General features: G+C 41.1%; 1 protein-coding gene across 27 annotated transcripts in view; it reads left to right on the top strand.

The window, feature by feature from the left end:
- Positions 1–24660, top strand: part of SH3KBP1 (SH3 domain containing kinase binding protein 1) — a 353624-nt gene that overhangs the window by 176264 nt on the left and 152700 nt on the right. For 12 of the 27 annotated variants that reach the window (NM_001353890.2, NM_031892.3, XM_017029468.3 and 9 more), the window contains 2 exons: positions 4353–4456; positions 15596–15725. In NM_001353890.2, coding sequence (NP_001340819.1) covers positions 4353–4456; positions 15596–15725 — 234 coding nt within the window. Of the gene's footprint in view, positions 1–4352; positions 4457–15595; positions 15726–16285; positions 16343–23645; positions 23721–24660 lie in introns of all 27 variants that reach the window. The other 15 variants (NM_001410757.1, NM_001410756.1, XM_017029460.2 and 12 more) reach the window with 2 other exon arrangements.

Genomic DNA, 24660 nt, shown 5'->3' with positions numbered 1-24660 from the left:
CCTCCCCATCCAACCAGCTTTATTTTATTAAATCTGGGGCCTGTAGGGCCCAAGTGCCCAGCAGCTGTAAGGAAAAGCTCCTGATTTGTGGTTTTTCCCTTCCTGGTTCCACCTTTCAAACAAATACCATGTTAGTGCAGCTAGTCCCTTCTGTGATCTCAAGACCCAGGACTGAGAATGCTTAAGAACAGTCAGATGTGGGAGGGAGATAGTGCTTCTGGAGTTGCGTTGCCTGGTTTGAAATCCTCTGGTAAAATACATGATCTCTATGTGCCTCCGAGGTCTTCTTGTCTGTAAAAAGGGGGTTAGTAATCTACCCCAGAGGTTCAGTGTGAGGATTAAATGGGGTGGCATATGTAAAGTGCTTAGCAGTCTATGGCACATAGTAGGTGCTCAATAAATGTTACTATTTTATTAAACAGTAAATGGTCACAAATGGAAGGGGGCCGTGGGGTCTAGTGAGAGAGTTGAGGGTGTGCTGTCTCAGTTATCATTAGATCGGCTATTGTGGTATCATAGTGCTTGTGATCAACGAACCCTTATTTCACTTAATACAGTTGTTCCCCCTTACCCGTGGGTGCTACATTTCAAGACCCCTAGTGGATGCCTGAAACCATGAATAGTGCCAAGTCCTATATATACTATGTCTTTCCCTATACGTACATATCTATGAGAAAGATTAATTTATAAATTAAGCGCAGGAAGAGATTAACACCAATAAATAATAATAAAACACTAATAATAAAATACAACACTAACAATATACTATAATAAAAGTTATGGGAATGTGTTCTCTTTCTCTTTCTCAAAATATCTTATTGTACTGTACTTAGCCTTCTTATGATGGTGTGAGATGATAAAATGCCTACATGATGTAATGCAGCGAGGTGAATGATGTGGGCATTGTGACGTAGCGTTTGGCTACTATTGACCTTCTGATGATCTATGAGAATGAGGATCATCTGTTTTGAGTGATCCTGGATCGTGGAGTCACAACGCTGTCTGTGGTTAGATGTGAGGAGCAGACAGTGTCAGTGACTCAGGGGCAGGGAACATCCGTAGCGTGGAGACGCTGGACAAATGGATGATTCACATCCCGGACAGGATGGAGCAGGATGGCATGAGGTTTCATCACACTACTGAGAATGACATGCAATTGAAAAGTTATGAATTGTTTATTTCTGGAATATTCCATTTAATATTTTTGGACCTTAGGTGGCCACAGGTAACTGAAACTGCAGAAAGTGGAACTGTTGATAAGGGGGGACTACTGTAAAAATTCCACTCCCAGTTCATTTGGACATGAAGGTGGTGGCTCAAACTAAGGAATTCCAAACCTCAGGCATAGGCAAGTCATAAGTTTTTTTCCTTTAGTTTATGTGAGCTATTGAAATGAGGTGGCATTGTCATCTCCTTACCTCTTTAAGGAAGGTCAAGACTCACTAGTAAACACCAGTGAAATTCCAGGAGAGGAAAAAAATGACAAATGACTTTCTTAGACTTCCTTAAGTTTAAGATGGATGGATGCAACTGAAATACAATTTCTCCCAACTTCAAGCATCCCCCTTGAACTGGGTTGTAGGTCAGGTGGTACTGGCAAACAAATTCAAATCAGTGACAGGCTATAGTTGAGGCCTCGAAAAGCAGCATTCCAGGAGTTTGGTGTTCTCTGTAATGAGAGGTCCATGGCAGAGACCTAAGTGACGTGGTACAGTGTTGCAGGAAGAAGTTGAGTACAGATTGCAGAGAGTTTGGCACAAAATGTGAATTGAATTAGTTTATCCAGCACTAGAGAGAGAACTATGAACTTAGGCTAAGGAAATGCTGCCACTTACTAGCTTGGTGACCTGGGGTAAGTCATTGAGTCCTGGATTCCTCATTTGCAAAATGATTGCCCATTCTGGCTTTTATTTTTTAACTCATGTGGTTGGCAGGAGGAGAGGGTGATGGATATCAGAAGGGTTTGTGAGCTATCCCAGTGCGAGGGCGAATGATTGTGCTTGGCATCAGGTCACGTGATCTTTACCACCAGCCACCTCTGGGTCCCTCCCCTGTGCCCTCTGTAGGGCTTACTCTTTGGCATGTTGGCAGTGAGCTTTGTAGGACTTTATGCTACCAAAACAGTAACAGTCATGAGGCTGGACTAGCCTGGCAGAGAGAAAGTAGCGAAGACATCATTCTTCTGACACCAGGCAGGCCTTTATGGAAGTCCGATGCGGGGATTTGGTTTAAGAGCAGTCTCATTATTCTGTTTCAGGTCCTACATCCATTGGGTTAGTCTTTTCTCTAAGAATAGATCACTCTCTCCTTTGCCATTTGTGCAGTGTTGGATTAGATGCTACTTTTTACAGAGGGTTTTTTGAACATATGAACTTACATACAACTGTAAGTTTTATGGCTTCAGCTAACACTAGATCTTCAGATGGTGTTATTTTAAGTCACTTTGGTCAGGACTTTGACTTCTGTGGTTGTGAGTGTTGGTTTTCAGACGTTTGTCATTTCACTTGTTTCATGTTCAGATTTGTGTCTGCAGAGTTTGCTTTTAACATAACATCCAGCAAATGAAAGCCCTTTAAAGATTGGTAGTAGAACTTCATTTTAAGAAGCATCTATGGGGCCAGTGGAGTCGCAGGGGTCAGGAGTGGGATGCCAAGATTGCCTTGTAATCTAGACTTTCTTTGCTAGAATGAGAAATCCATATCCTTTATGGTACAGGGTACTTGATTTGCCTTCCATTGTATGGGAAGCCATGGTATAGTGGTGGCGTTCTTTGCATCGGAATACCCATTCCTCCTGACTTTCCTCCTTGGAAAAGCAAGTTGGAGTGGGCCCTCTGTCCTAGGGAGAGCCAAGCCCTCCTTGGGGTTGCACTACTCAGCCTGCTGACAGTGCCATCAGCATCTAGGAATTGCCCTGGAAATGCTGTGTTTGTTCCTAAGACCCAGAGGCTTGTAATTTTGCACAAAGGGGTGGAGAGTATTTGTGGAGTCACCAAAGATGTGATTAGACAAGATATCGATTCTGAACTTCTGCCCTCTTCCTTCTATTCAACTCTGTTCTTGCTTAGTGAGGTACAGGCAAGAAAAATGGAACAGAGAGAACTAGGCTGCCGGCTTTTGAAACATATTGATCAGGGCACACATCCGATGTAGCACAGAGACCTTCCCCTTTATATGATGTCATCCTGCATTGGGGCCTTAATGTGCCCTGTGATCACCTCTGCATGGACTTCCTTTCTCAGAGAAAAGATTAGAGAAGAAAAAGAATCCCTGTAGGCAGTGCTAAAAAATAATTTAAGCATTTCTAAATGTGTTTCTTTGAAGTCATTGATCCCTTTGGTTTTCTAGGCCATGCAGTGGCATGAAGGAATGGTGTGAGGCGGTCAGCCATGAACGACAAACTTCTGAGCAATGTCGGTCTCACTTCCTACCTCCCATCCACCTCCCTGGCTTGGGCCTCCACTGCTGTCTGTCTGTCTGTCTGTCTGTCTGTCTGTCTGTCTGTCTCACCCTCACCCCCATACACGTTCTTTCTCCACATAGTGCACATCTGTGGTGTGGATATGCTGTGGACAGTTGTGTCTGTACTTGAACCAGCTCTAAGCCAGGGTCTCCCAGATAGGACATGCTGGGTGAGTGAGATGTTGTAACCCTGAGTGTCCTCTGGTTGAGTGAAGTGTGGCCCTGGCTCTTATCTTGATTTGTCTGGCTTGGTTCTGCGTAAGTAGCTGGGGATCCTGTTAATGGATCCCCTGGGACAGAGGGAAGAGGACAGAAGTAGATTTGTTGAATCCTGTGGGGGTGTTTGAAATGGTACCAAGAGCAGGCTGAAATCTAATCAGCCTTCACTTATCAGGCTTGAGTTCCCGTATGTTGAAAGGGTGACGATTAGTAAGAAAAAGGCCAGGATACTTTATCTTTCCTTTGCACATTTAGAAAAATCCCCTCTGCCTTGCTAGCATTAGAAGCAGACCATTCTTTTTTCTCTACCACATCACATCAGCTTCCATTAAAAATCAACAGCAGCAAATACAAAGCCCCATCTATGGAAAACCGTTTAAGGCAACACTGTGCTCCAGTGCTTCAGGGGTGGGGTATTTGCCTTCTGCACCAATGGATCGGTTTCTCATATCCATGCCTTTCTGACCCAGCAGCTTTTAAAAGACCAAGAAGCATTGCTCTGCTTTCTACTGCCTCTCTCTAAGAGACCAGGGCTGCCGTGCCTCAAGCCATGTCCCAGAGAGCATATTTGAGACAAGTCAGCTTAATTTGCCTGCATGCCTAGGAAGCCTCTCTTTAAAATCTGATTTGGGGAGAAGAGCTGTCTCTAAATATTTTGCTTTTCCCATCCAGGCGAGCGACGGAGGCGCCGGTGCCAGGTGGCATTCAGCTACCTGCCCCAGAATGACGATGAACTTGAGCTGAAAGTTGGCGACATCATAGAGGTGGTAGGAGAGGTAAGCGACCTGGCCGGGCAGTGCAATGGCCTCGAATGGGCTGTCATAGTCACTGCTTACCCACCCATGAAGACGCCTTGCTACAGACTCACAGGCTGTTTGGCCTTGAAGTTAGGGATCCTCTAGTTGAGTCTCCTGTCTGAGAAAATGGCTTTCCCCAGAGGAATGCCCCCAAGCCAGCTGAGTTCATACCTGGGGCCATTGGAAAGCATTGTCTCTAACACAGCTTACTAAATACCTCCGAATTTCCAACGCAGTGCCACCAAGTTTCTCTTCTACTTGAATTGAGCATAGACTCTGGGCATCCAGAGTGACCCAGATCCATCTTTAGAGCATGGATTTAGTATTCATTGTGGGGGACGCTGTGGATTTAGAGGGCAAAAAAAGGAGTGACATTTCTTAGAAGACCTAGTATGTGGCAGATGTGACAAGATTCTTTAAGCATTAGCCCATTTCCTCAGCCCACACGGTTTATTGTGCGGGATGAGGAAGGAGGATCAAGAGACCCTAGAAGACGCAGGGCTGATGGCCAAGCCTGGTCCCTGTGACTGGAGACCCTCACTCTTCCTGCTGTACCACATTCTCTTATTCCTGCTAGTGAAATGTCCCTCCAGATTCCCTCAGGCCTAGGGGATCCTGGGTTTCAGGCTTAGAACCTTATCATTCATTCTGATTCAACAGTTGTATCTATATCTAGAAACACAGTTTTCCATTTGCTTATTGCTTGCTGATACCCTCTGACCTTACAGAAACCCACAATTCATAGAAAAGGAAGCTAGAAGTTGAGGATGACTTTAAGGGAGCTGTCATGTGAGTGGAAGTGGCAGGGGTGATGCTAGAAGCCAGATTTCCTAGCTCTCATACATAACCTAATGTGAACATGTGTCAGAGTTTTATTTAACTCATTAATGAAGGGATCTGTAAGATGGTAAGGCTGGCCTGAAGAGAATTGTGAAAGAGCAAAGATAATGACTGAAAAAATTTAAGATTGCTAAGTTACATGCAAAACTACATAGTGCCCTACAGTGCAATAAAACTGTAACCTTTGAGGTTATCTTTTCTAGGGGACAAATCCTTTGCATTTCTGCTCGTCAAAATTTATTTTTGTTACTACCTGGCAAGAATCATTTGCAGTGCTCTCAGTTTTCACCAGTTGACATCCACAGTAACAGAGTTGTAAACTAGCCTCATAAATAGTACATAGTGTGCCAAGCAGAGATACATGTCCCTCCAGAAGCAATTAATGGGGTCCCCAGTGTGGCACTGGGAGGGCATGCAGGAACCCCTTTTACCTACTTCCGAATTTTGGATAATTAACATGTCATTCATCCTTTTTTACCCCTGGTGGCAAGCAGGGCACATAGGAGACATTTATTGAAAGTTGAATGAGTGAAAAAATGAATGGACAACAGAGAACATTTATTTCGGTGGTAGAATGACAAATTTCTTAAGGCTGTAACCATGGAAAGAAATTCCAGAAGAAAAAATAAACAGATGTGACTAATAAGAAAAATGGTTAAGATTTTGGTACGATTTGAAGCTAGTCCAGCTAAGGAAAGAGAACAATAAATAGGAAAACATTTGCAATAAATTATGACAGAAGTTATTATATATGTAGTATGTGAAAATATTAGGAAGCTATTATAACAATGATAAATAGTAGATAAATTTGCCATAAACACAGATCCCAGACGGAGAAAAAAGTCTTAACCACAAGAAAATGTTCCACTCGACTGTTAATTAAATAAATACAAATTAAGACAATAATGGGTTTTTACTTATGAAAATCCTAAGAAAATATTTAGTGGTTAAGCTGTTGGCAAGGCATAGAAGAACTGGTGAATTTGTATGTCTGTATTATGAAGCTATTTGGCAAGGTATGTCAAAAGCTATCAATATCTGAATAACACTTTTTGACTCAGTGATCTCATTCCTGAGAATTTATCCACAGAAACTGATTAATGAAAGAAGAAACATGTGAAACGTGTTAATTACAGCAGTATTTGTGATAATGAAAAATAAGAAGGAGAATTAAGTTGTATTTTCCAAGTAGAACGTTGTGAAGCCATTAAGATGGTAAACACAGAGGTTTTTAGATATGTATTTGTTATGATACTTTGCATTGTAATGATCTGTTATATTCTAAGCTGAGAGCTTTTCAATGGCAGGGACCTGATTTTTATCTATTTTTATATTTGTGGTACCTAGAATAGTGCCTGAAACCTAATCTGCACTTTAATAAATGCTTGCTGAATAAGTAAATGAATCAATGGAAATACAAAAAGAGTTTTTTGCAAATTGAACAAATCAGAACACAAAATTGCATACACTAGGATAAAACCATGTAAAATATATCTATATGCTTGTGATCAAAGACTGAAAGGGAACAAGAATTGAAAATGCTTCTGTCATAGAAGATAACTTTTCTTTTAATATTGTAATAATGCATTAAGAAAAACCACAAGTCAAGACAAGGAAAATGATTAATACATTTCTCAGAAATATTGCCCACTTTTGCCTGCCTATTGGCTGCAGAGAAACTGAACGTTGATTGCTTAAAGGAGAAAGAGGAGCACTCGCAGAGCTGTTACTGGATTTGCCTAGAGGCTGATAGGCCTTTGCCATCATCTACAATACCAGCCTCCTTTCTATTATTCGCTGCCAGCTAAATCCTGTTCGTCATTCTGGACTTGCTTCAAATAGGAAAAAGGAAAAAATAACCATATAGTCTATGATATTTACATAAAACAAAACGTAAAGGCTGGCCTTTTAATCCAAAGTTTTAAAATACGATCAAAAACTCCCCATTGTTCCAGTTTACTTGTTATATTGCAGAGACTGGGCCCTTGTCACTGTATAATATAAAATCTGTCCTTTTCTCTTATAGTGAATGTTATATAAATGCTAAATGTAGCTCCTCTCTAATTCCACTGATGATTAAAAATAAACAGAAAAAAGCAATAAACAAAAACCCCTAAATCACAGAGAGATCAAAGCAAGAACATAATAGTTTTGCAATACTGTAGGATTAATCTATTAATAAAATATAACATGTATTGTGTATGTATATATTATATTTTTATTGATTAATAGATGGATTTCTCTAATTTTGCAAAGCTGTACACACACACACACACACACACACACACACACACACACACACACACACACACACACACACACAGTTTCTCTTTTTGCCCTGACAGATAAGCCTTAGGAGGATTTTGAATGTATGGACTAGTTTTTTTGAAAGAGTTGAATCAAGTAGAGAATCCTAAAGTCCTAAAACATCTGCCTTAATATCTAATTTTAGCTTAAAATATCAAAATGAATATTCATTCATCATTTATCAATACAATCTTATGACATGGGGCCAAGGCCACTTCCCTAAATATGGGTTTGCTGGTTTGAGTTCCATCTATCTCTGCATCCATAGTGCATCCTCTATGATTCCCATTGGTTTCCTTCTCAAGTTCTACAGCCCCCCACCCGCCTCCAACCCCTTATCTTCTTTAGTTGTTGCCTTCACACCAAATTTGGCAACAGTTTTTTTTTTTTAAACATTCAGATCATTACCTTTATCCCTCCTCACCACCAACTCTTTCTCTTCACACCTGTATATTTTTGTGCAATTTAACCAAATGTGTGCTACCATTAATGAGCAAAAGGCTTAAGCAGGTTTAGGTAGAAACAACCTTGACCCTTAGTCGGGTGAACAGCTTGCTCACCTGGCAGGAGCGAGTCTACCAGCCCTGAATGCTCAGCCTGAGCCAGCCTCCAAAGCGTGGTTTAGGGAAGGAAGGGAGTGCTCAGGGCAGTGTGGGCATAGTGGAGTTGGCAAAGCAAAGCACCTGCCAAGAAAGCACCTGCCATGCTTCTGGCTCCTGGCTGGAGAGTGGTGGTTGTGCTGTGAAAAGAAATCATCATTGTGAACCTAAAGGAACCAGACTGCCAATTCAAAAGGAAAGTAGCAGGCTGTGAATTCCTGGATTGATATTTTTAAAGAAATCATTGTGAATACACACTGGGTCATTTTTATCCTGAGTGGAGAAGACAAATAAATACAGGCAAAGTTCTAATTATAGGAAGAACAGAGATGGCGTGTGAATGAGATTTACAGGAGAAATGGCATTTGAAGGCCCCTGGAATTTTTATGCAGGCTTTTTGGCTTATGATGTGTTTTTGTCATTGTTGTTGTTTCGTTTTGTTTTTTGTTTTTTTTTTAAAGTGCATTGAAGCCACTTTGTTTTTCTATGTTATCTAGAGCCTGGGAAAGGAGCCACTTTTCCTCTTGTGTTGGATTAGCTTGGTCTTAGCCAGTCTCTCAGTCGTGGCCCAAGGGATGTTCAAAGATTCTTGCTTTTATGTGTTCTTTATGGTTACTTTTTGGGGTGTTTCTCAGTGGCCCCCAGTCAGGCTGGCTTAAAGCCTAACCTGGTTTTGTGGCTTGCAAAGATGATAACTTCCACTTTCAAAGTACTTTTGCATCTTCCTTCTTGTGCCCATGGAATATTTGGTCCACTCAGCTAGAGTTAAATAGGCCCTTGAACGTCATCAAAACTTTAAATCAGTCAGACAACTTTTGTGGGTGTGGATAGGCCCACATCCTCATGTCATTTTTTGCCCATGAGAAGTCAAGTTTATTCAAAGGCTGATCAGTTAATAGGTGATCGAAGCATACTGAAGTTCTGACCTGTTAAGATAATCGCCTTGCTTTAGAAGGGTGTGTATCTCTTTGCAAAAAGAAGATAACATTAATATAAAATATCTGCTTATTGGAATTTGATAATCCAAAGAGCTTGGGCTGTTCTACAATTATTTCTCCAAATAACTTTGAGGTGAAAACCTCTGATTTCCTAATGTGCAGAGATGGTAAAACATTCATATTAAGGAGAAGGAAGCCGTGTTTAGAAGAGAAAGTTGATTAGATTTGAATCATCAGCATGCAAAACAGGCTGCAATCATATAAAAGTAGCATATTTGCAAGTTTAAAGGTATTTATAATAGATTTGCATAGCTGTGGGATTTATCAAATATTTCAGTGCTTACACTCTGAGAGAAACTGTGTTTATTGAGATTTGGGGATTGATTGAACAGAACCTGTCCCTTGAAACATGCTCAGTCTAGTGAGGGAGGGCAAGATATACACAGCTAAGGTAACTATCAACCCAAGATGTTACCAGAGTGGCAAATGATGGCATTGACGAACGAGAGAGGAATTTAAAAATAGGAGTAGTCACAGAGGGTGAAGAAGATGCTTTGTAGAATAGGTGAGGTTTCAACTGAAGATGCAGATGGTGAGTGGTATTTGTGTTAGGTGCTGGAGGAAGGAGGACATGGTGTTAGTAGAGCCTTGCTCTGCATTAGGGGAGGACCTGTGAAACTTTGGGACCTCCCCTAATGCAGACCTCCCCTAATACTTTAGGTGTAGAGTATAGAAAGCAGGTGCTGGTGGATGCAATGAAATGGGGTTGAGATCAAAGTTATAGTGCTGGCCACACTGAACTTTCAAAGGAGCGCCTGTTTAAAGATTCCTAATCTGGAGGTTTCCCAGGTGAACATATCCCCATAACCATTTTCTCACCTGGAAATAGCAATGGGAGAAAACTTGAGGATCTTGATTCATCAGAAAGGTTATCTTGCTGGCTTGTGTTACCATTTGTTCATATTTTTTAATTGGAATGATAGAAAGACCTTAGTATTGGACTCACTTAGGAATTTGGGGACCTGTGGCTGTTTTTGAAGGACAGGATTATCAAGCACTGCTGAAGGAAGTTTCCGAAAGCTCTACCAGAAACCCTTTCCACTCTGATGAAAAATCATGGATGTTGCTCTGTCTTGTTGGGCAGTTGGCCTAAGTCTTAAATAGAAATTGTATATGTTTTCTTAAATGACTTCCCTTCCAATTACTCTACAGATTTCTCTTCGAGGGCCGCCTCTCATGTAGAATAGCCTTGTTCTCAGAAGAGTGAGGGGAGGGAATGAAAATCAGCTTCCCTATGTGAATGGAATGTTCTGGCCCAGCCAGAAAGAGGTAATCATACAATGAACTACACAAGAATTAGGGGAAAATATTGGTCCAGCCATTTAGGACCTAGATAATGCTTGTTTATATTTGGCATAGCCAGCTTTCCCACATCCTCTGAGATTGAAAATAGTGTAGGTGTTTATGCCTTCAGGAAATGCCCCCCTTAAAGATATATTTTTTTTTCACCAGTTCTACTGATAGAAAAACATGTTTACCAGAAATAATTTGTATTATTTTCAGCGATATTTAAAAAGTTAAATTATGTCTCAGCACATTTATATGAAGTTCTAGAAGAAGTAAAATGAATCAAAGGTGATAGAAATCAGATTAATGATTGCTTGGAGGTGGATTGACTAGGAAGGGGCACAGGGAACTTTCTGGAGTGATGGAAATGCTTTTTATGTTAATAGAGGTGTTGGCTACAATGGGCGTTTGTCAAAACTAATCAGCTTGTATTGTTAAGTTCTGCATTTATGTAAATTATACTTCAATTTTAAAAAAGCTTTAAAAGCTGTCTTAACATTTTTTTAGCGTTTTAAAAATTCTCAAAACACCTTTCCCAAGTAAGAGAAAGGAACAGTATTACAATTTTCATTTAGTTACTCCTGAAAAAAAAATTTGAGGAAAATTTTAGCAGCTTTAAGGTGTGGGCCTTTCCTTAGACTTTGATGTGTCACTTTTCTTTTATGGGAAGAATGGTAAAACAACTCTTGAAACAATGAAGCTGACTTCGTTTGTCTGGGTGCATCCCCCTAACCCCAGGCTTCCCTCAAACCCACCCCTCCAGTGTGCTTCTGACTGGGGTTTGGGTATCAAAGTATTCACTGGATGAAAAAAAGCTATAGTCATCCTTAGATGAACTTTTTCTGTCTTGCTACTTGTGCCCTTGGGTAGACTGTAGACCTGATAAAGCCTCCATACCCCTTCTCAGTCCAGTTGACAGGTAAAACTTCAGGGGTGATAAATAGGAACTGGCCTGAATAGCCAAGCACTCACAGGGAGCACGCCATCTTTTCAGTCACAGACTTCCTCTTTAGTGCCTTACAAATGGGGTGCAAGAAGGGGTGGGGATGGGAGTATTGAAGTTCACCCAGGTGTTTGCCCAATCTCCAACAGGGTTAAGATTTAAAAACTACTTCCTTGGACCCTGAACCCACTTAGATGCTGTTGATTGTAAAGACATGAAAATTGCAAGGCCCTCAGATAGAAACTGTTGAAGTGGTTTTATTCCATCGTTCTCAAACGCTACCAGGTGTAAGCTGCTCTGCTCCCAGCTCTGGGCCAAAGGTGAGATTCACTCTTGGGGCACGGTGAAATTGTATCTTAGCACATTTATGTGAAGTTCTAGAAGAGGCAAAACTAATCAAAGGGCTCCAGAGCTGACTGGGTTGGTCGTAGAGGGACACAGGTGGGATTTGTTCTCAGCCTAGAGCCAAGGCCTGCAGAAGACTGTTTATGAGTGGGGAACGGCATCTGCCCCCTTTTATTATTGTCCTTTCCTTGGGGTGGAAGTTATAAGCCCTTGGTGTGGTATTCGTAATCCCTACTTTGTTACAAAGAGACGCATTTCTTTCTTTTCTTAACTATAGAAATGCAAACATAAGCAAGCTTGATTTCCAAGCAGGGGCTGTTCAGGCTCTGTAACTGCCTCTCTCTTGTTGGAAACTTCTCAAGGATGGAGTCTTTATCTGTTTTGTTCAGCAGTGAATCTGTCCCCAGGTACTGGGGCAGTGCAAGATAGGTGCTTACTAAATATTGGTGGAATTGGGAGGACCACACAGTCCTGGGTGTGGCAGTACCTAGTTAAGAACAGTGGCAAATATAGTTAGGATCTCTCAGTTCCTTTTGCTCCTCACAGGAAGGAAACCTTTTTCTGTGGGGGAAATCAGGGCTCTTTAGGCCCCCATGGAGGATTTTTCCCAATAATGTCTCTGCCATTCATTCATTCATTCATTCATTCATTCATTCAATGTGTGAGGCACTGTGCTTTACTCTTAGAATGAGTGAATGAATGAATGAATGAAATCACATGGCAGTGTCCGTGTCCTCGTCTTTACACAGGAAGTTGAACTAGAATATCTCTGAAGAGGGATAGTGTGAGGTATCATTTTTCTCTTATCTCCAGCCTCAGTCTCGAGACCAAAACAGCTGGCCTGGCTATAGAAGGAAATAGTACTGAACGACTCTCACTGGTACTGGGGCCACCCCCACCACCCCCATGAAGGGCTCCAGCTCACAGAAAAATGAGCATCGTGCCCATGGTGCACCTGTGATGGGAAGTGTGTCCCCAGGCGATGAGCAGTGGTTTTATTGTCTGCCCCTCCACTTACTGCGTGGTTAATGATAGGCCTCTGCCATTTTCCCATAGGCCACTCTTCTCAGACTGTGCTGTGACAGTGATACTGGCATCTGAGGGTGTGGTGAGGTGAAGATACGTCTGTTTTCCCAGCAGACAGCCTGCTTTTCCTACACATCAGGAAGGCTTCCCTCAGGGATCTTGGGCAGGAGCCACTTATTACTAGGAATAGGAATGTTCCAGACATCTTCAAACTAAGTGGGTTGGAATTGGCCCAGCTGCCCCGTGCTGTTGGGGATTATGCCAGGGACTGCTCATTTGTGGTTCATGCCCTTGATTTTCTCCTCCTGCTATGTGACTCCTGGGAGAGAGAAGGACATTTTCTGGTTTCTTATTCAGTACCAGCACAAAGGACTCCACTCCACAAATCCTGTGACTATTGATACTGAGACTCATGGTGAATCTTCCTAACCATCTAAGCCTATAAAAAGCTCCTTGAAAAAATAATATGTGTCAGTTGAGTTGGCATAGAAACATGGAATGATTTCAGTGGAAATGCTGCGAAATGCCACGATTTGGTATCAAATAGTCGTTGGGACAGTTGTGCATGAATGCCGTCATCTGGATTCTCTCCCGAAGATTTTGTGATTGTGCAAATGTAATTGCCACTCTGTAAGTCTGTATCCTACAAGTTTCCTTATAAATGCTCTAAACTTATCGTTCTGGTTATCTCCATTCCACAGGCTCCATCAGCAACCCCCTTTCTCATACACACCTGTCCCCTAAGTATGGCTGCCATTTCTTCTTCTAAAAGCCTACCTTAATTTTGATTTCTTTTTTCTCAAAGCCTTCCTTTAGCACCCCAGATCTCAGTGAGCTCAACTTTGTGTAACAAGTTTGATGTGTGCTAAGTCATGGTCTTTTCTCATCTGTTTACATTGCATTGCTAATGTTTAGTCATACCTTTCTATCTTGGTAGAGTATTCACTTCTTGAGGAGAACTAAGGACTTGTCCTATACAGTTCTATGTCCCGCAGCCCCTAGTGAAGATTTGTAATGCATATATACTTCTAACACAGATTGAGATGCTGCCCTAAAGACGACAACTGTGAAGTGTGTTAATTATTCCCATCATGCAGATAGGAATAAAACGGGGTTCATTTTGGTAGGACAAATTTGCATAACGTCACACAACTACTAAGTTTCAGGATAGAAAAAATTCGAACTGGACTTTTGACTCAAATTTTCTTTTTCTTTTTTGTTTAAATTATTTTAGCTTTTACATTGTATTTATTAATTTGGATTGGTAATACAGACTTTCCTCAACTTAAAATGGGATTATGTCCCAATAAACCCATCATAAGTTGAAAATATCATAAGTTGAAAATGTATTTAATACACCTAACCTACCAAACAGCATAGCTCAGCCTAGCCTACCTTAAATGTGTTGACAACACTTCCATTAGCCTATAGTTGGGCAAAGTCATTTGGCAAAACAGTATACTGAAGAGTGTCGGTTGTTTACCCTCATGATCACATGGCTGACTGGGAGCTGAGGTTTACTTCTGCTGCCCAGCATTATAGAAGTATCATACTACCTATTGCTAGTCCAGAAAAAGATCAAAATTCAAAATTTGACGTATGGTTCCTACTGAATGCATATCACTTTTGCATCATCATAAAGTCAAAAATCCTAAGTCGACCTATTGTAAATTGGAGACTGTCTGTACGTGCACATGGTAAAACAATTCCAAAGGTTGTATTATACCACACCATACAGCTTGTAACTTAATACTTGCTTGTTTTCAAACTGCCCTTATTTTCCTCCAAGAAGCCAGTTTGCTATTCTGACTTCTGCTGTACTACTAGTGGCTCTATTACAAAATCCAGGGCCAATTTTTTTACGCTTCTGTCACCCATCCCTGCTAGTTGATCACTCAAGGCCAGCTCAGACCTCAAAGGGCCTCGAATCCAAATCTGCCTCATCCATTCTCACTGCTCCCCCGACTCAGCCTTCCCTCCTTATCCAGATATCATAGTCTCGCTGCCCTTCCTACCTACCTACCCCCTTTCGGTTCATCTTAGGGTAACTTAGAACCCTTCAGAAATGTACAGGAAGCTCTTACACTTTCTGATTGAGTTCTTAGCCTACAGATAAATTCTTAACTATATTTTTTTAGGCTGTTTAGTTAGTTTGGTAGTCTGGGGAAACCATTCTCAGTTTTTAGATAATGCTTTTAAATGCATAAAATAAAACGCATAAGATTATAAAGGGAATGATTTATATTGAACTAGTTATCAAATTATTTTAAGACCAAATTTTGATATAGTAATCTATGGGTATCCTTATTAATAGACTAAATAGCAAAGGTCTCCCAGTAGGTGTAATAACTATCACCATTTCAAAGCAGCAATGAGCACATACGATATTTTGAGATACCCATAGCATCTATGATGTGATATGAAAATATCTGTGGTTTGTTTGGTGATGAGTCACAGGTCCTTCTAATATTGGTGTGTTACCTACCCTACGTTCATAACCAAAGCAGATGCCAAATTTCAGTTAGAGGCTAATGAAAATGAAGTATTAATTTTGTCTGTTTGCATTTGTGGATCCCAGGTAAACACCCCCTTCTTTAGCCTGAATCTCAAGGCTCTATGTGGTCTTTTTTTCTTGTTCCCTGTTAACTTTAAAGCCATTCAGTCTCCCTGTGTGGGCTCTGCATGCTACACTATACATATGGGAGGCAAAATTGGAAACCACCATGTCTAACCTGACCCATGTATCTCTGCTCTTTTGTTTGTATCTCTGCAGGTAGAGGAAGGATGGTGGGAAGGTGTTCTCAACGGGAAGACTGGAATGTTTCCTTCCAACTTCATCAAGGAGCTGTCAGGGGAGTCGGATGAGCTTGGCATTTCCCAGGATGAGCAGCTATCCAAGTCAAGTAAGGAAGTCTACCCTACCAAGCAGGAGAGGGGCGGGGGACCGGCAGGCTGTGCTCCAGCCTCCCTTCTGTTCTGTATCCTATGCCGAGAGGCTATAGTAAACGCTTACGAGTATTTTTTTGGTTATACTGCCTTAACCCACTGTGGTTTAGGAAGTTGATCCCTATAAAGGTGTGACCCGTAGCCACACATTCTGTATGTCTCTGGATAGGTAACTGCCAGCCTTCATGCCCTGGTAATACTGTCTCATGGGTGGCCCATGTTGCTGTGCCTCCATATACTTCTAGAGTGTTGCTTACTGTAAGTTCATAATTATTTAAAAAATGAACCAAATGGGATTGTCAGTATTTCTCAGCATCCCTTGAGGGACTTGGAGAAAAATTACCAAAGAAAAAAAAATTACTGGTGGTGAGAAGTGAAGTGCTATGACAAGATGAGTGCATGCCAATCCCCTTAAAAGTAGGTCAAGACAACTGAGAGTCCAGGTCCCACCTTGGGTGGTGAGCATGTGTGTCCTTCTACGATGGTGACAACGAACTTCAGGTCTTTCTTTCTCCAGGGCCTGAAGGTCTCCCTCCAGCTTCTCTGCTGCCCTTTCCAGCTCACGGAGCAAAAGGTCAGGACCGGGAAACTTCGTTCTCCCAGTCACTAACCCAACTGTGGGCGTCTGTGTATCTCTTGTGCTGTCTTGAGCCAAGGTCATGGGCATGAATGTTGTAGGAGGCTCGACTGTGCAGCACTACCTGGGGTTGCAGAATTTCCTTTCTGACAAGAGGAGGGCAGCTTAGTCCTGCCCAAATCATTCTTAAATGTCTTCCTTTTTCATTTGGAAAAACCTGACTTGAGTGGTGTTCTCGTGTTAGTTTGTGTCTCATTTATTTAACCAGTAGTATGATTAGACAAGTGTCTGATTTGGAGGTAACGCCATTTGCAGAGAAGTGCTCAAGCGACTTCCTTCACTTGGTGTCTCAGCAGCTCTGGATGATGTAGCCTGACATACCGAGAAACAGCAGCACTTGCTGGTTATCCAGTGGCTTCAGCAGTGCTCCTTCCCTCCAGTGCCAAAGCCTGGGACCCTACTACCCCTGAACCCCATTCCATCCTAGAGTCTATGGTAGGAAGCACTGGAAGGGGTTGGGGGGGGAAACGAGGTGTCTTGGAGCTCCTGTTGCCTTCTCTGGCTCAGGGCAGGGGGATTCTCTATTAACATGGCCCAGCTGATGAGTACTACTGGGAGGGGAGAAGGTGTCCTTGATCTCCCATTAGTGGAAATTACTATTGCTTTCAAAATCCGTGTTAGAATTCTAGCTGCCCTGGTGTCTTCTCCTGTACTCTGGAATAACTATTGTACCTGGTAATTAGATCCCATAATAACAATACTCTATGTCAGGGACATTGTGGATTAAATGGGATTTTTTGGAGAGAGGACCAAATTGGGTCATTATAACATTATTTCCATGAATAAATTCATTACAAGTTCCAGTAGCAATAATGTGCATAAACCACCTTGCTCCATAGCAGACCCATAATAAATGGTAGCTCTCACTGTTAGTCAAGATAACTGTTGAGACATAACCAGTTAGTATCAGTTGCTTGGAGGTTGCTTGCATACTGAGCGATAGCATGTTGGCTGAGGCATTGTGACTGCATTTGGAAATTACTTTGGAGTTCCTCTACTGATGCAGAGGAGGAGATCTGGGGAAGTATTAGACAACCTCTTTGGAAAAGTCTTGACATATTGGTGTCCTGCCATTTTAGCTATGCTCTCAGAGCTGGAAGATCAGAGGAGTAATGCCTCTTGTATCTTTAGAACTATTGAAACAAATTGACTTCTCTCATTCCAAGTCAGTAATATGGACAGTTCACCCTGTCTGACCCCTCAGCTAAAGGCATATGGTGCTGCAATTCCTGGTACAGAGGATTAGGAGGTTGGGCGGAATGGTCTTCCCATTTAGCATTATGTCATCACCTGCTCAGAAGGGGCATTTTCTCTTCTGGAGACTGTTCCCCCCAACACACTTACTGAATTAAAAGCCTTCCATTTCAAGACCAGGAGAGCCCAGTGGTTTCAGCAGCCATGTTTAGTTGCCATTTTTGAGGGGATTTTGAATCCCCTGGAGAGGCATGGTCCCCTAACAAGGATGGCTGCTTCTGATAAAGGATACATGGCTTTTGTAATCTTCCTGCATGTACAGTTAAGGAAAAGAGGGCCCATCTCTCCATCGGTTGGTTCATATCCATCTATCTATCCATCCTTCTTTCTCTCCTTCCTTCTTTCTTCCTTCTATTCTTCATTCATTCTGTCTTTATTGGCACCCCATTGTTACTAAAACACTGTCCAAGGCACTGACGATATACAGAGACAAATCAGACAGGGTCCCTGCTTTCAGTAAGCTCACACTGCAGAAAGGGGACATGCAAACCCGAGTTCAGCAAAGTGTCCAGGTGCTCTGCAAAGTAAGCATCTGAAGAAGAGTGGGGCACAAAGAGGCCAGTCCCATGGGGATGTGGGGCTTCATAGAAGAGCAGATGTGAGAATAATGAATAGCTTGCTAAATTGAAGTAATTCCCTGAAAGAGAGAAATAGTATCTCTCAGTGTTCTGACAGAATTTCCAGTAGCAGGCCAGGCATGGTGGCTTATGCCTATAATCCCAGCACTTTGGGAGGCCAAGACAGGTGGATAGCTTGAGCCCAGGAGTTCGAGACCAGCCTGGCCATCATGGTGAAACCCTGTCTCTACTAAAAACAAAAAAACAAAAATTAGCTGGGCGTGCTGGCACATACCTGTAATCCCAGCTACACAGGAGGCTGAGGCATGAGAAGTGCTTGAACCCGGGAGGCAGATGTTGCAGTGAGCCATGATCACATGACTGCATTCCAGCCTGGGCTACAGAAAGAGACTATTAAAAAAAAAAAAAAATATATATATATATATACATACACACACACACACACACACACACACACACACACACACACACACACGTATGTATATATGTGTATATGTATATGTGTGTGTATATATATGTGTGTGTATATATATGTGTATATATATGTTTATTTGGTATTTGCATTCTTCACATTTCTGCTTCCAGAAAGTATTTGAAGTAGTTACTGAGTTGAATTTTGTGTACCAATGGATGAATATGATAGAAGAAACATTGGCATTATATTTATAAGGGAGTATGCCAAGACTGCTTGACACATGGTAGGTGTTTAATAAATGCTTGTTGAATCCCCTTTTACTATAAGGAGGCATTTTTATTTTTGAATGACAGGTGAAAATCTTTTGAACTTGCTTTTCTCTTATTCTGATGTATTTTTCCATATCGTGGTTGGTTATGAAAGTCTCTAAACTTTCTTAGATCTTTGTTTAGGGTAATCTAGTCTATCAAGGAAAGAATTGCAACGATTGTATTGGTGGATATTTTATCCATTTTATCTCAGAGAGGAAAATTTATAGTTATGTAGTAGCAGAAACTTTTCACTGCATATTTAAATTTGAAAACATCTTTACCATTTTCAGAACTTATGAAACCTTAAAGGTAGTTTTTCAAAAAAGATTCTTATAAACTTTTTTATTATTGAAAATTTCTAACATCAACAAAAATAATAATAGTATAATGAACCTCTGTGTACCTATCACTCAGCTTCAGCAATTATCAACCTTTGGCCAATTTGTTAAAATTATAGCCCTCTGCACGCTTTGTCCATATTATCTTGAAGGCAAACCCCAGATATTATATAATTTCATTCATAAATATTTTAACATGCATCAGTAAAAGAGTGTCTTTAAATACCATTTATCTCACACACATAAAATTATGGCAAGTCCTTAGAATAATTAAACACATGGTCACTGTTCACTTTCCCCTAAAGTCTTCTTTATTGCAATTCATTTGAGTCTGTATCCAAATAAAGTACATACGTTGCAGTTAGTCAGTATGTCTCAAATCTGTTTGAATCTATAGATTTCTCCTTCATATCTCCTTTTTTTCTTGTAATTTTTTTGCTAAAGCAACTGAGCCCCTTTGTCTATTAATTTCTCACAGCGTGGCTTTTGCCGATTTCATCTCTGCTGTGTCATTAAATCTGTATTCCTATAAATTGATCATTAGATCTGGGGTCTTGATTAGATTAGATATAAATATAAAGCCTGAAAATATATATATATATATATAAACCTGAATATATATATAAAACCTGAAAATATATATATATATATATAATCTCAAAAGATATATATATATATAGAGAGAGAGAGAGAGAGAGAGAGAGAGAGAGCGACAGAGATTGAGTGCGCATGCGTGCGTGCGTGCGAGAGTAAACCTGCCACCTAGGTGGTGATGGATAATCCACTTGGAGGCTCATAATGTCTGGCCGTCCTACTTTTTGAATGTTAGCAGCCATTGATAATTGTCTCCCAAACCTAGTTACTCATTAGGACTTGCAAAGAGGTTTCAACCAGAAATTTAAAAATAATAATAAAATGGGCTCCCATGTAACAGATCAATAGTCCAAAAAAGTGTTTAGTAAATTAGGTTTTTAAAAATCAAAACAGCCAAGTGGTTGTGCTAATAGTGTAGGCAGAATCTTATGATGTTAAGGTGGAAAGGAATTTAGATATTGTTTAACTCAGTGTCAGATGAGAACACTGAAGCCCAGTGAAATTAACTCCCAGGCTTCTGAGTGATGGGGAGAAAATGACATGCAAGCCTTCCATACACATTCTGGTGCTGCCTCCATTACACAAATAGTTTACCTTTCCACAGGTCATCTGACAAATTTCAAGCCTGAGTACAGTTTAGCTTATTTCTTCTTATTGTCACGGATCATGATTAGTTAATTGCCTTTTCAGTTACAGTTTTGCACATGCTACTGTTGACTAAATAATGTGCAGTGGCAAAGAAATCCAGATACGACTGTTGTCCAATTTCAATTTCATACATATTTTGCCTTACATTTAAGACATAAATATGTCTTTTCTTTCACATCCTTTGATATTATTTGCTTTCAAATAATAGTTGTAAAACTAAAAGTGTCCCTGTTTTTTAATTCTATAGCTACAGAAACATTTTCAGTTATTTCTCACAATCTTCAGAGGGAGAAAGTTTGCATTTTCTTTCTGTAACCATTAATAACCATGAGTTTTCTGTTGTTATTGAATTTCTCATTTTCCTAATTCCTTATTTAAAAAGTTGAGGTTCTGATAATTTAGTGACTTGTCAGGCTAAGACAAAGATGAAGATGGAGGCCAGGTGTGGTGGCTCACACCTGTAACCCCAGCACTTTGGGAGGCTGAGGTGGGAGGATCACTTGAACCCAGGAGTTTGAGACCGGCCTAGGCAACATGGTGAAACCCCATCTCTACAAAAAATAGAAATTAGCTAGCTATGGTGGCATCTGCCTGTGGTCCCAGATACTCAGGAGGCTGAGGAAGGAGGATTGCTTGAACCCAGGAGGTCGAGGCTGCAGTGAACTATGATTGTGCCATTGCACTCGAGCCTGGGCGACAGAGCAAGACCCTGTCTCAAAAAAAAAAAAAAAAAGAGAGAGAGAGAGAGAGAGAGAAAGATGGTTTTTAAAAATGTATAGCAAACCACTGCCATGATGCAGAAATAATTGTGTTTCATTAGCTGTAAGAAATGGATTGCTCAGCGTCCCTTGCATATAAAAATGAGAGCCAGTCTGACAAATCCCACTCTGTGGCATCATTAGACTTTTTTTCTTTTTAATATTAGATGATATTTGTTTGGAGTATGATGGTCTATTAGCAATGAAGAACGATGAGCAAATTGATGTGATAGTTTCAGGCAAAATTAGATGCTAGCATAAGTGTATAGTTTTGTGTGTAAATTTTAAAACTCTTCCCTTTTATAGTGTTTGCTGCCTTCAAGTACTAATATTTAACAGTGACAGTATACTATTTCCCCCAGTAAGATCAACGTCACTCATATTCATAACCTTTCCAGTTGGCTGCCTCTTTTGCTCTTCACACAGGACACCTATGTGTCCTCACCCAGCCCCAGCCCAGACTACATCTCAAATTGCCTTGCTGCCAATGCACAGAGAGACTTTGCAGGAAGGCTTAACCATTCAGAGACATCAGAGCCATGGTCTACCTCAGTGACTCTCAGGCTTGGTGTTAGGGAAGAACACATGGAAGTTTTAGTGTACTTAAAGGAACATTATCGAAATACTGCCTTTAAAAAAAATCTTACACTTCCTTTTTTTCTGACACTTGAGAGGACTGCTGTTGTTAACTTTTGGAGGGCCTAGCTCACAAAACAGCTGTGTTCTGAGGAGTAATGGTGACTTAATGACTGAAGTTAAGCAGAATTGCCCGAATAAAAACTAGCCACTATTACTTGCTGCACTTTTGTCATCAAAGTCCTCAAGAGCTTCAAATCTAGCAAGAACATTTGAAACTTTGTTAGTCTTCAGATTATTCTTACACAGCCAGTGATTTGAATGCCTAAGTTTTTGCTTTAATTGGATAGAATGCATCGGTCAAAAAGGGCACATTTCAAAAGGAGGGTATACCACCATGGCTGTAGGACACGGAAATTGGAAATACCTGATCCCATTTAAGTTGTTGGTCTTCTGATGATTCACAATTCCTTTCCTATATGGGGAGTGCCAAGGCCCAGAAGCTGACAGTGTGGTTTCTCTTGGGTTTCCCATTTTAACATGGAGTGTTTCTAAGAAGTGAGACAAGTTGCTCTCTCCCTTCACTTAGTTCTACTCCCTGCTTCTCTGTAAATGTAGCCTAGCTTTTTCATCCTCCAGACTTATTAGGAAGCTGTATGACTGGCCTCCAGTTTGAATATTTAATTAACAAGCCATAATAAAATTTATTTCTCAGATAATTTAAAGTAATATGTTTATTAATTGAGTTTGCCTTTAGCAAATCATTTTGCCTGTCGGTGGTACTCTCTGTAGGGCATTTGTGTGTGTGCGTGTATGTGGGTGTGTGTGTGGGTGGGTGTGGGAGGGTGGGAGGATGGGTTGGAGTACACTCAAACCAGGGCAGTATGTGTGTATTCTGTATAGTTGCTCATGGTTCCAGAGATATTTGGGCTTTAGCCAAGTGTTCAGCCTTATGCTATTGACAATCTCTACCTGTAACAGCAAAAAAAGATAATTTGACATTTGACACTGGGTGAGTCCTGTGTCCTCATGCTTAAGTACAGTTTCATGACTGACACAGCAGAATCCCAATTAAGATGTTTTGAGAAATAGGGTTTTCTGGTGTCCTTGGTTCTAAGCAGAAAACCCCGTATGTTTATGTGGATGCCACTGTTGGTTTCAAACCTCAGTGGTGAAACCCCCCTCACCAGTATATTAATACATTTTCTTGCTTAAAGGTACTGAGGGTGACAGATCTTTTAAAGAGAATTCTGTGTCTTGTTTAGAATCTTGGGGACATGAATATTCGTTTTTATCATGTAGGTCTCTAGGGGTAGAAGATAAAGGATAATGTGTCTAAATCTGTATTATGCATAGGTCGTATTCTCCAAAGAGAAGCTTGTGCTGTACAATTGAGTTAATTAAGGAGTCCAATTGATTGGATTCCCTCTGGTTAATTGAAGTTTTCCTATTCTTTAAGTTACAATGTTGAAAGGGCTTCCAGGTTTAAACTGGGCATAATGTACATGCCAGTCATTTGCAGAGGCAAGCCCCAATTTCTGGGTGCTTATGCCATACTGGTTGCATGGGGACTTTGGGCTCATTCTGTAACATTCTTAAATCCTGCCTAATGGTCTCTACTTAATTTTGTGGATGAAGCTCTTGCAGCAGATTCATTGAAGGCAAGTTCAGTTAAAGACTCTTCCTCTTCCTTCTTTTGCCATCATTTGCTCCCTCCTCCCCCCTCTCTTGTTTTTCTCTCCCCTTCTCTTCTCTCATTCACTGTCAGGAAAGACTACCTTTGAAGGGACAATTCTGTACCGAGCTGCACCGGGAAAGACGGAGGGCCACAGACGCTATTACAGTGAGTGACCTTAACAGCAGAAGGCAATTGTAAAGATAAGATCTGGGTACTTGTGTTTTTTGATGCAGCTGCCCTTTCCTGAGCTGCTCATGCTTATGCCAAGTGTCTGTGTGAATTTCTGATCCAAGGACATGGACTTATTTGTCTAAGTAAGTGCCATCTCCTTGGTGTGTGCTAAGAAGCATTCCCAGCACCAGCCCCTGGCGCTTTTGTTTGCTTTCTGCCTCTATCATGTATGTGATATGCGTGCATGAGCCATACGTGCAAACAAAGGAGCAGTAGCATTTGTCGTGGCATATGTATTTGTACCAGTTTCTCTGGGCTTCTGGGGTGGTGTAAGATGGCTTCCTGCAGAGATGTCAACCTCTCATGGTTATTGCTTTCTCTGAGTGGGTCACTGGAAACCAATAAACCATTTTGTCATTGTGTGGTTCAAAGAAGTAAGAATTTGGCATGAAAGTCCATGCCAGAAATGGCATTTTGCTTTGCTCACTCAGCCAATCACCACATGGCAGACTTTTTTTGGCAGGACCAATGTGTAGCCTTTTGTGTTGTGAAATAAGGCTGCCAAAAGTTGAGGGGAAGGAGATGAATGAGATGCCCTTAGAACAGTTCTTGCCACACAGTGAGCTCCATCCATGTGAGTGTTAAATTAAAAATAGATAAAAATATCTCATGGATCTCAACTGATCAATGCTGGAAGACTGGGTACATTCCACAAAATTGGACAGTTAAAGGACTCTCAGAAACAAAACTGAGGAGGCTTTGTTCTTTTTTTTCACCTTGAAGGAAAAGCATCCACCTTTGTGTGCATATACACATATGCATACATACCTACGTGTATGGATATGATGAGAGAGAACGTTGAAACATGAACACCAGAGCCATGCTTCACAAACTGGGGTCAAGTTTTTTTTCCTTGCCACTCCACCATGGGAAG

Source organism: Homo sapiens, chromosome X, assembly GCF_000001405.40.
Source record: "Homo sapiens chromosome X, GRCh38.p14 Primary Assembly".
Taxonomy (NCBI): domain Eukaryota; kingdom Metazoa; phylum Chordata; class Mammalia; order Primates; family Hominidae; genus Homo; species Homo sapiens.
Note: the sequence above shows the minus strand (reverse complement) of the source record. Positions and strands in the feature narration are given on the sequence as shown.